Source organism: Homo sapiens, chromosome 10 (assembly GCF_000001405.40).
Source record: "Homo sapiens chromosome 10, GRCh38.p14 Primary Assembly".
In the NCBI taxonomy this organism is placed as follows: domain Eukaryota; kingdom Metazoa; phylum Chordata; class Mammalia; order Primates; family Hominidae; genus Homo; species Homo sapiens.
Genome location: NC_000010.11, coordinates 52,263,565 through 52,277,116, shown reverse-complemented (window position 1 = coordinate 52,277,116; position 13,552 = coordinate 52,263,565). Strand labels below are relative to the sequence as shown.

General features: G+C 36.1%; 1 protein-coding gene across 4 annotated transcripts in view; it reads right to left on the bottom strand.

Moving 5' to 3' along the window:
* Positions 1 to 13,552, bottom strand: part of PRKG1 (protein kinase cGMP-dependent 1) — a 1,307,463-nt gene that overhangs the window by 21,234 nt on the left and 1,272,677 nt on the right. For all 4 annotated transcript variants that reach the window (NM_001098512.3, XM_017016413.2, NM_006258.4 and 1 more), the window contains 2 exons: positions 5,628 to 5,767; positions 4,636 to 4,725 (listed from right to left, as the gene is read on the bottom strand). In NM_001098512.3, coding sequence (NP_001091982.1) covers positions 4,636 to 4,725; positions 5,628 to 5,767 — 230 coding nt within the window. The remainder of the gene's footprint in view (positions 1 to 4,635; positions 4,726 to 5,627; positions 5,768 to 13,552) is intronic.

Genomic DNA, 13,552 nt, shown 5'->3' with positions numbered 1-13,552 from the left:
GACAACTCTATTTGTTTCCAGTTTTCTCTGGTTTTGAGTCATTTTGGAATGTGGAGGGTTTTAGAAATCTAGTTTCCATTCCTTCAACACATCTATATTGAGTATCTTTCACATATAAATATATTTGTAACCGATTTTGAAAATTAAATGAAAACCTTGTCTCAAACTTTGATAAATCTATACAATGCATGCACACAAATGTTTACCAGCACCACACTGTCCCATCACTAAACATGTGATGTAGATAACTTGTGGATTTTAAAATAGACATCTTGAAAGCAGTCACAAAGCATAACACTGAGGTGACTCACAATGAAAAATTACTATTAGAATTGGAAATGACAATGTAAATTTGATTTAAAACAAAAGAAACCCTGTTTCATCAATAGTTTAGATAGTTACTTAAAGAAATAAATCACTTGCCTTATATAGCTCTTTGAAATAATGAATTATGCCTTGACAGCTGTGTCATTTCAATTAAAACCAGTGAGAGATAAGGCCCTTATGCCCTCTTTGGGGATGGGTGGTTGTTTTAAGCTAGATGGCAGTTAGATGACAATTTGAGAGAAATAGAAGGTTATTTATGAATATTGATAGACTCAAATTAAAATTTAATCACAATGTTTAGTCAACTTGTCATAAACTGAGTTCTTGGATATCAGAATGTAACAGGAGCTAAGCATCTCTCATCAAAATATTTCACCTTTTTCATTGACGAGTAACAACAATCAGTGAGTGTATGAACCTGAAGTATGTTGCAATCTGTGCAGATTTATTGCCAATTGTAAATTGAGGGAGGCACAGCCAACATAATACTGAATGGAGAAAAGTTGAAAGCATTCCCTCTGAGAACTGGAACAAAATAAGGATGCCCACTCTCACCACTCCTCTTCAACGCAGTACTGGAAGTCCTAGCCAGAGCAATCAGAGAAGAGAAAGAAATAAAGGGCATCCAAATCGGTAAAGGGGAAGTCAAACTGTCACTGTTTGCTGACGATATAACCGTTTTCCTGGCAAACCCTAAGGACTCTTCCAGGAAGCTCCTAGAACTGATAACAGAATTCAGCAAAGTTTCTGGATACAAGATTAATGTACAAGAATCAGTAGCTCTTCTATACACCAATGGTGACCAAGTGGAGAATCAAATCAAGAACTCAACCCCTTTTACAATAGCTGCAAACAAACAAACAAAAAACCAAAAACTTCGGAAAATACCTAACCAAGAAGTTGAAAGACCTCTACCAGAAAAACTACAAAACACTGCTGAAAGAAGTCATAGATGACACAAATGACACAAACATCCCATGCTCATGTGTGGGTAGAATCAATATTGTGAAAATGACTATACTGTCAAAGCAATCCAAATTCAATGCAATCCCTATCAAAATACCACCATCATTCTTCACAGAATTAGAAAAAAAATTCTAAAATTCATATGGGATCATAAAAGAGCCCACATAGCCAAAGCAAGATTAAGCAAAAAGAACAAATCTGGAGACATCACACTAACTGATTTCAAACCATACTATAAGACCATAGTCACCAAAACAGCATAGCACTGGTACAAAAATAGGAACATAGACCAATGGAACAGAATAGAGAACCCAGAAATGAACCCAAATACTTACAGCCAACTGATCTTTGACAAAGCAAACAAAAACATAAAATGGGGAAAGGACACTCTTTCAACAAATGCTGCTGGAATAATTGGCTAGCCACAGGTAGGAAAATGAAACTGGATCCTCATCTCTCACCTTGTACAAAAATCAACACAAGATGGATTAAGGACTTAAACCTAAGATCTGAAACTACTAAAATTCTAGAAGATAGCATTGGAAAAACCCTTCTAGACATTGGCTTAGGCAAAGATTTCATGACCAAGAACCCAAAAGCAAATGCAATGAAAACAAAGATAAATAGCTGGGACCTAGTTTAACTGATGAGCTTTTGCATGGCGAAAGGAACAGTCAACAGAGTAAACAGACAACCCACAGAGTGGGAGAAAGTCTTCACAGTCTATACATCTGACAAAGGACTAATATCCAGAATCTCCAGCAAACTCGAACAAATCAGTAAGAAAAAAACAAATAATCCAATGAAAAGTGGGCTAAAACATGAATAGACAATTCTCAAAAGAAGATATACAAATGGCCAATAAACGTATGAAAAAATGCTCAACTTCACTAATGGTCAGGGGAATGCAAATCAAAACCAAAAGGTGATACCACCTCCCTCCTGCAAGAATGGCCATAATCAAAAAATCAAAAAACCAATAGATCCTGGTGTGGATGGAGTGAACAGGGAACACTTCTACACTACTGGAGGGAATGTAAACTAGTACAGCTGCTATGGAAAACAGTGTGGAGATTCCTTAAAGAACTAAAAGTAGAATTACCATTTGACCCAGATGAAAAGAAGTCATTATTCAAAAAAGATACTTGCATACTCATGTTTATAGAAGCACAATTCACAATTGCAAAATCATGGAACCAAATCAAATGCCCATCAATCAATGAATGGATAAAGAAACTGTGATATATATATGAGGGCATATATATATATGATGGCATGTGTGTGTGTGTATATATATATATATATGATGGCATGTATATATATATATGTATATATATGATGGAATACTACACAGCCATAAAAAGGAATGAATTAACAGCATTTGCAGGGAACTGGATGAAATTGGAGACTATTATTCTAAATGAAGTAATTCAAGAATGGAAAACCAAACATCACATGTTCTCACTGATATGTGGGAGCTAAGCTATGAGGATACAAAGGCATACGAATGATGCAATGGGCTTTGGGGATTTGGGGGGAAGAGTCGGAGGGGGGTGAGGGATAGAAGACTACAAATATGGTGCAGTACATACTGCTTGCGTGATGGGTACACCAAAATCTCACAAATCACCACTAAAGAACTTACTCGTAACCAAATATGACCTGTACCCCAATAACTTATGAAAAAATAAAAAAATAATAAGCTATAAGAGGGATAGCTGGGCTCTCCCTTTGTGGCTTATTATTGCTTTCATGTTTAATTCCACCTGTAAATCTTCTTCTATTCTAATTAGAAAAAAAAGTAGAAGACTTCAAATAAATCAGTGAATTGAAATATCAAGTCAAATATAATACAGTAGAAACACATTAGATATGCCAAATGTTAACTCACAGATTAAAATATTAACTTTGTGCCACAAACTATACATTCTGAGGAGAGAGACCCCATCTGTTTTGTTTATTACTGGATCCCCAGCCTCTATCACAATGCCTGGTATATAATCTCTATGTACATATTAACTAGCAATAATACATAATATATACACTATGATATAATAGCTTAGTATAGATGTTAACCTTATCGCCTAATGCCAACATGATTACATTCCCTTTTATGCTTTTTTAACCTTAAATTTAAGAATTGAAATAAAATACCGATGCAATAGGATACAATGTGGTAACAAGAAATCCATTTGGCATATATAAGAAAGGCCATGGGAATAACACGAAAGGGCCTGTTGTACAAAGATATGAAGGTACCATAAGAACACCATTAGGAATGAGAATTTAAATCAACAGTTCATAAGGAACCACTTGTTTTATTCTGGGGTATCTGCAAAGTAACAAATATAAAAACATTACATGGTTATATACATCAGGGCTACCTATAGCTAAGTTTCAGAAGGATGCTACCCTGTGAAGGAGAGTCTGGGAGGCAGGACTCAAACAAATAAGAAAAATACAGATGTCTAAATGTGAGTGTTCAAAAGAACAAAGATGACTTTTGTATGATCAATAAATCATTCATGGAAAATAATCAAAAGATTATTCATAGGAAAATAAAAGTGTGTTTTTAAAAAAACACAGGGTAGATAATGATCTCCTGAGACATTTTATAGGATAAATTATATTAGAAGATAATTAGATAATTTGCTAGTTATCTAAATATGAGATGGAAAATTAAGACAATGAATTTGCATGATTAGAACAAACAAGCACCATGTAGACAAACTTTCCTTGCCCTGGAAGGGTAAGAAGGTAAATCTAAATCAGATAATTTACATGAAATATTGCTTATAAGTGGATTCTTTTCTTTTTCCTAAGACTAGCCAAGGGATAAAGAGATGGCTGGAAACTTTTGTTAATTTTGAAACCAAAGAGCCATGTAAAGGTAGAGGGAAAAATTACTTTGGAAAAAATTCACAATGTCACAAAAGGCAAACTGCCTATCTGGAAAAAGAGTAGAGCAATTAAACTGATAGTTAATTCAAATTATAATTATAAAATAACTATAATTCTCTTTCTGCTAAAGCAATGAATTGAATTCCAGCTACAGAGCTAATTCTAACATTCATGCAAAACTAAGGCCATGTATATATTTTGCTATGTACCATTTTTATGATCGACTAAGCCTGTATTGTTAGTTACAAAGTGAGTTTTGTTATATGTACAGTAAATCATATGTGTATAGTGGGTTATGCCCTGTGCTTACTTTAAATATTGAAATATAAGCATGTGTAAATTATAAATATGATTATTATACTTTATCATATTAACTCTTCTTATAGACCAACATGGGCAACTGTTTTTAGAGATATCATAGAAATTTCTTAAATCTCCTACCTATCCCTGAGAATGGTCCAGAGCTCTCCACCTAGACAAGCTTCCATCAACATATACAAATATTTGCTGTCCTTAAATGTTCTGTACAGTCTGTAAATTGCAAACAAGAAAACAAAGATTATAAACATTACTGTCTTTTACAAGTGTGCAATTTTGGGGGGCCCAGATTATAGTTTTGATTTGCCAAGCTCAAAATTTTGTCAGAATGAGAGAGATCTAAGCCCACACATGGGGAAAAGAAGCCAATGGCTCATGAATAGGATTTTAATAGAAGAAACTAAGGCGCTAATCTCTCCCTTGAAATGGATTAATCATAATGATTATGGACAAAGAGGGTTTCTTGGGATTCTTTCCATTCCAATTTGGGTAATGTTTTGAGCATAGACCCTTGGGGCAACATTTAGTGGTCATCAACATGCAGTGAAAATGGGAATAAAGTGGATTAAACTTTACAGATTCAGACATGTATAAATTTCATATGCTATTCGCTCAAATTCATGTTACATCTTGTTTTCAGTAAATGCCACTGGAAAATTCACTACAAAAAGCTGCTTCCACATATAAAAATCTCCCCATTATCCATTTATTAGTACTGAGGTGGAATGGTCAGCTGTCATTTCATTTTTTTAGATCTTCAAAAAATATTCAGATAATTAAAGGTTAAATAGTTTGATTTTGGATATTTTGTCTTTTAAGCATCAAAGGTCTATGTAGAGTTTGGGGATTTAAAAAAAGATAAAAATGGAATGTTAGAAACTCTGGTACCTCCTTTGGGAAAACACATTGTTTTCAGACACTAATTCTCTTTAAAAGAAAGAATAGAGTCAGAACTTTATTTTTAGAAATCAAACAAAACTTTCTTAAGATTAGATTAAAAAGAAGTTTCTTTGTGCATACGAAATGTGTTAACAGTGAGCACAAGTGGCAGAGGGTTTTGTGGTGGATTTGTCACTTGGAGTTGGGTACGTCTGTCCCTGGCATGGAGCCTTTACCTCACTATGAAATCGGAATGAGCCCCCTGCATGATCTGCTTCTCTGAGCGGATGTGCTCCTGCTGTCTTGTGTCCACAATGTGACGTTTCTTGAGAATCTTCATTGCAAACGTTTTGGATTCTTCACTTTTCAACTGGACCTTAAAGAAAGAGAGAAGAGAGTAAGAAAAAGCCCATAGACTTGTAAGAGTGCATTATTATCCCCAAATTAACAGGTACATGGCGCACTTAAATGAACCTCAGCCACCTCCCAAGTCAAAACACAGTAAATCCTTGGTAGAGCTGCGTTTAACATCCAGGGCTCACAGCTATCATCCAATCTCATGCTCTGAATTGGCTGAATTTTAACTAACTTGATTCCAAATTAATTGTGTTCACGTGTGGATTAGAAGAGGGAAAATGTACTTAGTTCTAGTTTTATTATTTCATGTCATAGAGTGTGTTTGAATACATTTTATAGTTCTTCTGTCAAAAGAGTAGAAAAAAAACTTCTTTTCCAATTTTATTTCAGTAAAGATGGCCAAAAATAGGGTTATATGGGCCTTTATATTCTTCCTCCTTAGTTCTAATCCACAAACATTTCTAATTTTTTTTATCTTTTTTTTAAAATTTTATTATTATTATACTTTAAGTTCTAGGGTACGTGTGTACAACGCGCAGGTTTGTTACATATGTATACATGTGCCATGTTGGTGTGCTGCACCCATTAACTTGTCATTTAGTATTAGGTATATCTCCTAATGCTTTCCCTTCCCCCTCCCCCCACCCCACAACAGTCCCCAGTGTGTGATGTTCCCCTTCCTGTGTCCATGTGTTCTCATTGTTCAATTCCCACCTATGAGTGAGAACATGCGGTGTTTGGTTTTTGGTCCTTGCGATAGTTTGCTGAGAATGATGGTTTCCAGCTTCATCCATGTCCCTGCAAAGGACATGAACTCATCATTTTTTATGGCTGCATAGTATTCCATGGTGTATATGTGCCACATTTTCTTAATCCAGTCTATCATTGTTGGACACTTGGGTTGGTTCCAAGTCTTTGCTATTGTGAATAGTGCCGCAATAAACATACGTGTGCATGTGTCTTTATAGCAGCATGATTTATAATCCTTTAGGTATATACCCAGTAATGGGATGGCTGGGTCAAATGGTATTTCTAGTTCTAGATCTGTGAGGAATCGCCACACTGTCTTCCACAATGGTTGAACTAGTTTACAGTCCCACCAACAGTGTAAAAGTGTTCCTATTTCTCCACATCCTCTCCAGCACCTGTTGTTAACATTTCTAATTTTTAGCTTGAGTGGTGGACCCTAGTCTCTGCTGAGACTGCAGACTGTTATTTCTTCAGTACTGACTGTATTCATTTCTTCTTTTTAACCTTGCAGAATTTTCCCTCCCTACAGTTTAAAGAGAAAAAAAATTGTAACAAGATTTTTTCAGGAGATTTTGAAAACCGTTTGTTTTTCTTCTCAAACAAGCATGATGGCTTTAGTTCCTTTGACCTCAAACTTTACTCTCTAATAACTGGGAAGACTTGGAGGCTTAATATCTTTCAATGTGCCATGCCTCTCTTGCAGCCCTCATGGCTCCCAGTGGCTCCAGAGGAGGCATGGATCTTCCACATGCCTTACTCAGACAGGGTGCTGTTTATGGTTTTACAAGAAATTTCAAGAAGGTGACTTGTAACAAAAACAAGAGAGGTAATAGAGCTAATTACTTAAAAGCAATGTAAGGACATTATCATCTAGTGCTCTCAAGCAGCAGAATCCTCAAGATGATACCAAACAGCCCATATTATTTGGGAGTAATGTAACCTTGGGGAAATAACATGGCATGCTGTTTCTGCTTTTCAGCTGAAGTATGGCTGTCCCCTCTTTAGTCGTTAATTATTTACTGCTTCATCAGCAGGGATAGCGAAGGTCTTAAGTGTCTTGTTCCTGCACACATGTACAGATTGAGTTCAATCTTCGAAGATATTCATGTGGCAAGTTCCTTAGGAGGGAGCATGAAGATACTGCAAATAAATGGGCCTCGGTTAGCTGCCAGCAATTGTGAATCAGTATGACAGGTAGAGGGAAAAATGGGTATTTGAAAATGCTTTTAACAGCCAAAGACCCTGTACTCTGGCTGTGAAACTCAAAGATGACAGATTAGTGTGCTACAAATAAATTCAGTAGTAACTCAAAATAAAACACCAAATGTGAAAACTCACTTCTAAAAGAAATCTGGAAAGCTAGGGAAGATGGCATGAAAAATGAGCTATGTTAGAGTACTACAATTCAGAGAAGAAGAAGTAAAGTCATATTCCCTCTTCAGAGTCATTCCCAGTTAAACTAGTGAGGACTGTTGTGCAGTTGTTCAAAAATGCCTACTATAAAAATGATTCTCTTTAGTGATGATAACACAGATACACAGATTTTTTTTTTTTTATACTTGTACACAGGGTAGGAGGAAAGAATTCAGCCTTTATAGTCACAGGTCTGGACTTGAATTCTGACTCCACTTAGTCCCTCTCAGTCTAAGCAACTAGTCTCTCTCGGGCTAGTTGCTTAACTGCTCTGAGCCCTAGTTCTAGCTGAGGATAATACCAGATACCACAGTTATTATGATCCTAAATGAAAACGCACCACCAAATGGGCATTCATTGATGGACTCTGCTTGTACCCAGCAATCTCTACTGAATAGGGCAAATCAAATGTTGCTTTTTCAGAGGAACAAACTGATTTCCAAAAATGATTCCTATCTTTCCCAAGGTCACAGAGCTATCAAGTGGCAGAAATGGATTCATGTTCAGGTTTTTTTTTGGCCCAAGCTATTTCCAGTATATGCTGCTTCCCTTCAGCTGAATACAAAACCAATTAAATGCATAGTGATTGATACTTTGCAAATCAGAGTTTAACGGAATCGACTAACTCATGGACTGTGAGATAAACTGAACAATATTTCTATTACCTTTAAGCTTAACTTATGCTAGGCATGTGATTTGGGAGAACAGCCAAAGCCTCACTGACATTTTCCTAGGCACTTCCCAGGGACCTCCATGTGTTAGGGGTTTGAGATACCCGATTGCTTGAATACTGCAAGGAGAAGCCAAGTGGGGTAGAAAGAGGATAATGAGAACTGGTGGGTGGCAGATGTCATAAGAGATAGGTAAAAGCTACAGAAAGCAACAGAAATTCTTGGGAGTCAGGCTTACTAGTTGCCAATTTAAAAAGCATTAATTACAAAAAGTTTATAGAACTATACTGCTAACCTACTGAGGCTTTCTGCTTTGCCTTTACTTTGCATGGAACCAGTCCTTGGGTCTAGAATCATCTTCCTTCTTTGGACTCTATACAAGATCTCATGAGCTCCTTAGAGCAGGGCCCTTAGAATCTCCACTTCCAATTTAAACCAGAATGCTACAAGACTCACAGAACTCAGGATCTTAACCAGAAAGTCAGGGTACCTGAGGACCACTGGTGTGAGCTAACTCAACAGAGACAGTGGAGAATGTTGAAGTTAATTATTTCCATAAAGCCCAAGTAACATATTCATCAGAAATCTTCTGATAAACCAACAACTTCCCAAAGATCATTCAAGAATGTTCAATTCAACATTGTTTCTAATGGAAAAATTTAGAAACAATCTAAATTTCTAGCAAGAGGAGGAGCTTGAAAAATAAATTATGGTATATCCATGCAATGCAACTGTAAAAATGATGACTTAGAATTATATTTAACATTACGGAAAAATAACCAAGACATATATATGAATAAAAGATACTGATTACAAGTCAGCATGCATTTTATGATCTCACAGTGTGTTCGTATGTTAGTGTGTATATATACATTCATATGTATATATATACACACACATCTATATGTGAAATAAATGTATGAAGAGACAATCAGAAATGTGTTCATCAATACGTTAACAATGATTTTTCCTTAGGGAGATTTTTAGTTGATTTTTACTTCTTTTTACTTTTTGAATTGCTTAACTTTTGAACAATCCTCATACCTTGCTTTTACAATGAGTAAAAGTAAAACTCTCATCATGAAAAAACTTGCAAGTCTCTTTTAAATTGTAATAGCTATTTATTATTATTGTCTGAATCTTTCTAATTGATTCTGATTCAACTAGAATTCCATGAATGCAAAGATATTGAGAAATTGTACAGAGCATAACAACCTATTGAGGTCTGGGGCTGAACCACACTATTACCTTCTTACAGGGCTGGCCACAAAAATTTTTTTTAAAGTAAACTCTGAGTCAGTTATAGCAATTTGTATTTGTTGAGCCTAAGATACTAGGTTTTATTATAAAAATATTTTAACAAACCTAATCCATGATGAATTGTAAGGTGACATTTAGTTTGCTTTTTATTTTTCCTGTTGTCTAAATTAATTATACAAAGTCCACTTGTGTCCATTTAAGATGATGATGATGATGATGATGATGATGATGATTTTTTAGCAAGTTGGTTAGAGCTATGAAATTACTTTCGAGTAGAGAAAGAGATCAGCCAGCAAAAAAGGAGAACAGGAGTGCATATTTTTCTTCTGCCTCTTGCCAAGGACTAGCCTAGATAGTTATGCATGTTCCTCAGATTTGTCTTCCTTTGAAGACTGTCCTAATCTCCTAGGTGTACAGGCTAATGCACTGGTTGAGAGTGTGACTAGTGTGACATTTGACTAATTTTTTTTCAATCTCAACCTTTTTTTTTGTTTTTTTGCTTGTTCTCTTGGACAAATTACTCAAACTCTCTCTGCTTTCATTTCCTCATCTATCATATGGGGATATCCTGACAGATTACCTGTGAAAACTAAATAAAAGTGTTATGTATCAAACAAAGTGTTTTCTTTGTTCCGACTGCAACCCACCTCAGTGCTAACAAGTAGATGAGTAAGGATTTGAGAAGCTACTTCTATAATATTGTGGATGCTATAAAAAGGAATGAGATCATGTGCTTTTGCAGGGACATGGATGGAGCTGGAGGCCATTATCCTCAGCAAACTAACGCAGGAACAGAAAACCAAACAGCGCATGTTCTCACTTATAAGTGGGAGCTGAATAATGTGAGCACATGGACACAGGGGGAGGAACAACACACACTGGGGTCTGTCGGGGGAGAGCTGGGGGTGTTGGCAGAGAGCATCAGGAGAAATAACTAATGCATGCTGACTTAATACCAGGCGATGGGTTGATAGGTGCAGCAAACCATCATGGTACATGTTTACCTATGTAACAAACATGCACATCCTGCACATGTACTCCAGAACTTAAAAAAAAGTTTACAATAATAATAATAATAATAATAATAAAGCATTAATATTGGTTCATTAACTAAATGTACCATACTAACGTAAGTTGTCAATAATAGGGGTAATTGGGTTCAGCGTATATAGGAATTTTCTGTACTATCTTCACATTTTTCTGTAATTATATAACTGTTCTCAAAAAACAAAGATTATGGATGCTTATACCACACTGGTTTTACTCTCAAAATTCCTAAAAAGGGAAAATGAACAAGAAAATTTCAATACTCAAGATCTTCATTTTATTTTATATAAGAAATGCTATGTGCTATATTAGAAATTAGAATCGGTAAATGTTTCATTTACAGTACATTGTTACTTCAAAATGAAGTATTATATTGACATTTGAATGAATGTATACTTGGGCCAAGTAGATCTTAAGGTGGGAATTTTTGACAAGGATTTTGACAAGTTCTTAACTATCTGGCTATAGCTGATGTCTGCATAATACTGGCCTGAAAATGAGAGGTGATGTCATCAGCATTTTAAAGAGCTCTGAAGATGCATTTGCTGGTTGTATTTAAATACAGTACATGCTTCCTTTCTACCTAGGGTATCTGGTTGCCTTAAAAAGGCTTGTTTCCTACTGGACCCAATTTTTTGCCTTTATTGGGAAGGAAGATTATGATCAAGGCAAGGTTAAAACTGGCTCAGTACCACTGGCTGTGAGTTGATCCTTAGAATTTGTATCTATTCATTCATTTAACCTTGTTATTAAGAGCTCGTAGCTTATTTTGCACTGTCAATATCTTAATTATTTTGGAAGAAAATTACTTCCTGAACTACACTGTAATTGAAATGATTTCTTAAATTCAAGGCTTAAACTGTCAATGTCACATGACTCATTATTATGCAAAAGTCCCATATGAAGTGGTTCAAATTACATTTCCATGCACAGCAGGAGAAGGGTACTCCCTTCATGCTCTACCTTAGGTAAACTGATGCTACAGAACAACGGTGATGAAGGGAGTTAAGGAAAACATAAACCTGGGACCTAATTCTGGATCTTTCACTAATAAGTCATATAATCTCACTGGGCCTCAGACCACTTTTCAGAAAATAAAGGGCAAAACTATATTATCTTTAAAAACTCATTCCAGCTAGAGAATTCTATACATCTGCAATTTGACGTAATATGCATTTTTAAAGCATGTTAATTATATTTAACCTTATAGAAACGGCCCAAAAAACATGTGGCAATATCTTGGGAAGAAGGAAAAGGGGAAATACTCCAAGTAACACAAAGGTCGCTTAAGGAAACATGATGGTCCTCTCTGAAAGTATGACCTTGACTTTACATTTATGTTCATATTCTCTTCGGGGGTGGGGGTTTTATTTTCTGCCCTCTCAACCCCAACATATGAAGGGATTGGTTTCTGTTATATTCTCTGTGTTGCTAACTTTCAAAGAACACACACTGGAAAAAAGTAGCAGTAGCTTTCTCAGGAAGAGCATTAAAACAGGCTTCAAGGCATAAGGGAATCCAGGCAGAGTCACCGTAATTGTAATAGCTGCAAAATAGGAATGGCAAATATTTTCTCTAAATAAAATAGCACAAAATTTTACTCAGGAAATCTATATTATTTGGTGAAGCATAAAGCCATTTTTTAGTTTTGGCTCTCTTTAACCTGGGAGAAAAAGTCTTTGTAAGTAATCCAGAAATAATTTGGCAAGGTATATGATTTTACGTTTAAGTAACCCACGTTTAATATAAATTGTGATAACTTAAGGAATTTAAGACAAGTGCTGTAGTGAAATGTTCTGCAAAGGAAGAAAAGAAGAAAAAAAAAGCTGGAGGGGAGGGGGAAGGAGAGAGAAAGCCCTACATTGAGAGACTGTGAGTATCTTATCCTATTAGATTAACCGGGCCAAAGGGCAGGTTCACCAAAATCAGCCAAAGGCCTATAATAAAACATCAACAATAAGAACATCAGTAAACAAACCACTAGACTCCCTATAAATGCATAAGCACTATGTTCCACCTCCATCATTTCCCAATATTCCCGTTGCCAGAAAGCTCTTCACAGCCCTGTAGGACACTGGCCTTAGATTCTACGTTCAGAAAGCAATGTAGACATCCTGTTCTGCAGCAGTGGAGTATAATAACAAAGCTGAAGCAGGGTATACAGAAGCCATAAAACTGCCCTAAAATTCAACAGGAAAAAAGACATGAAGTTACTATACATTAAATAACTGGGTATTTAGATTATTGAACTAGATCATACATGTAGAAAATAAAAATATTTAGTGTAACACAAAATTTTAGCATTTGAATATCTGTACCAGAAAAGGTAAATCTTGAGAGATAGAAAGTAGATGACAGGCCAGGTATGGTGGTTTACACCTGTAATGCCAGCACTTTGGGAGGCTGAGGTGAGCCCATCACTTGAGCTCACAAGTTGGAGACCAGCCATGGGCAACATGGCCATGTCTCTACAAAAAATACAAAAATTAGTCGGGCATGGTGGTGGATGCCTCTAGTCCCAGCTACTTGGGAGGATGAGGTGGGAGATTGCTTGAGCCTCTAAGCTCAAGCTGCAGTGAGCCAAGATCATGCCACTGCACTCCGGCCTGGGTGACAGAGCAAGACCCTGTCTCAAAAAAAAAAAAAAAATCCTGGAGATTGGA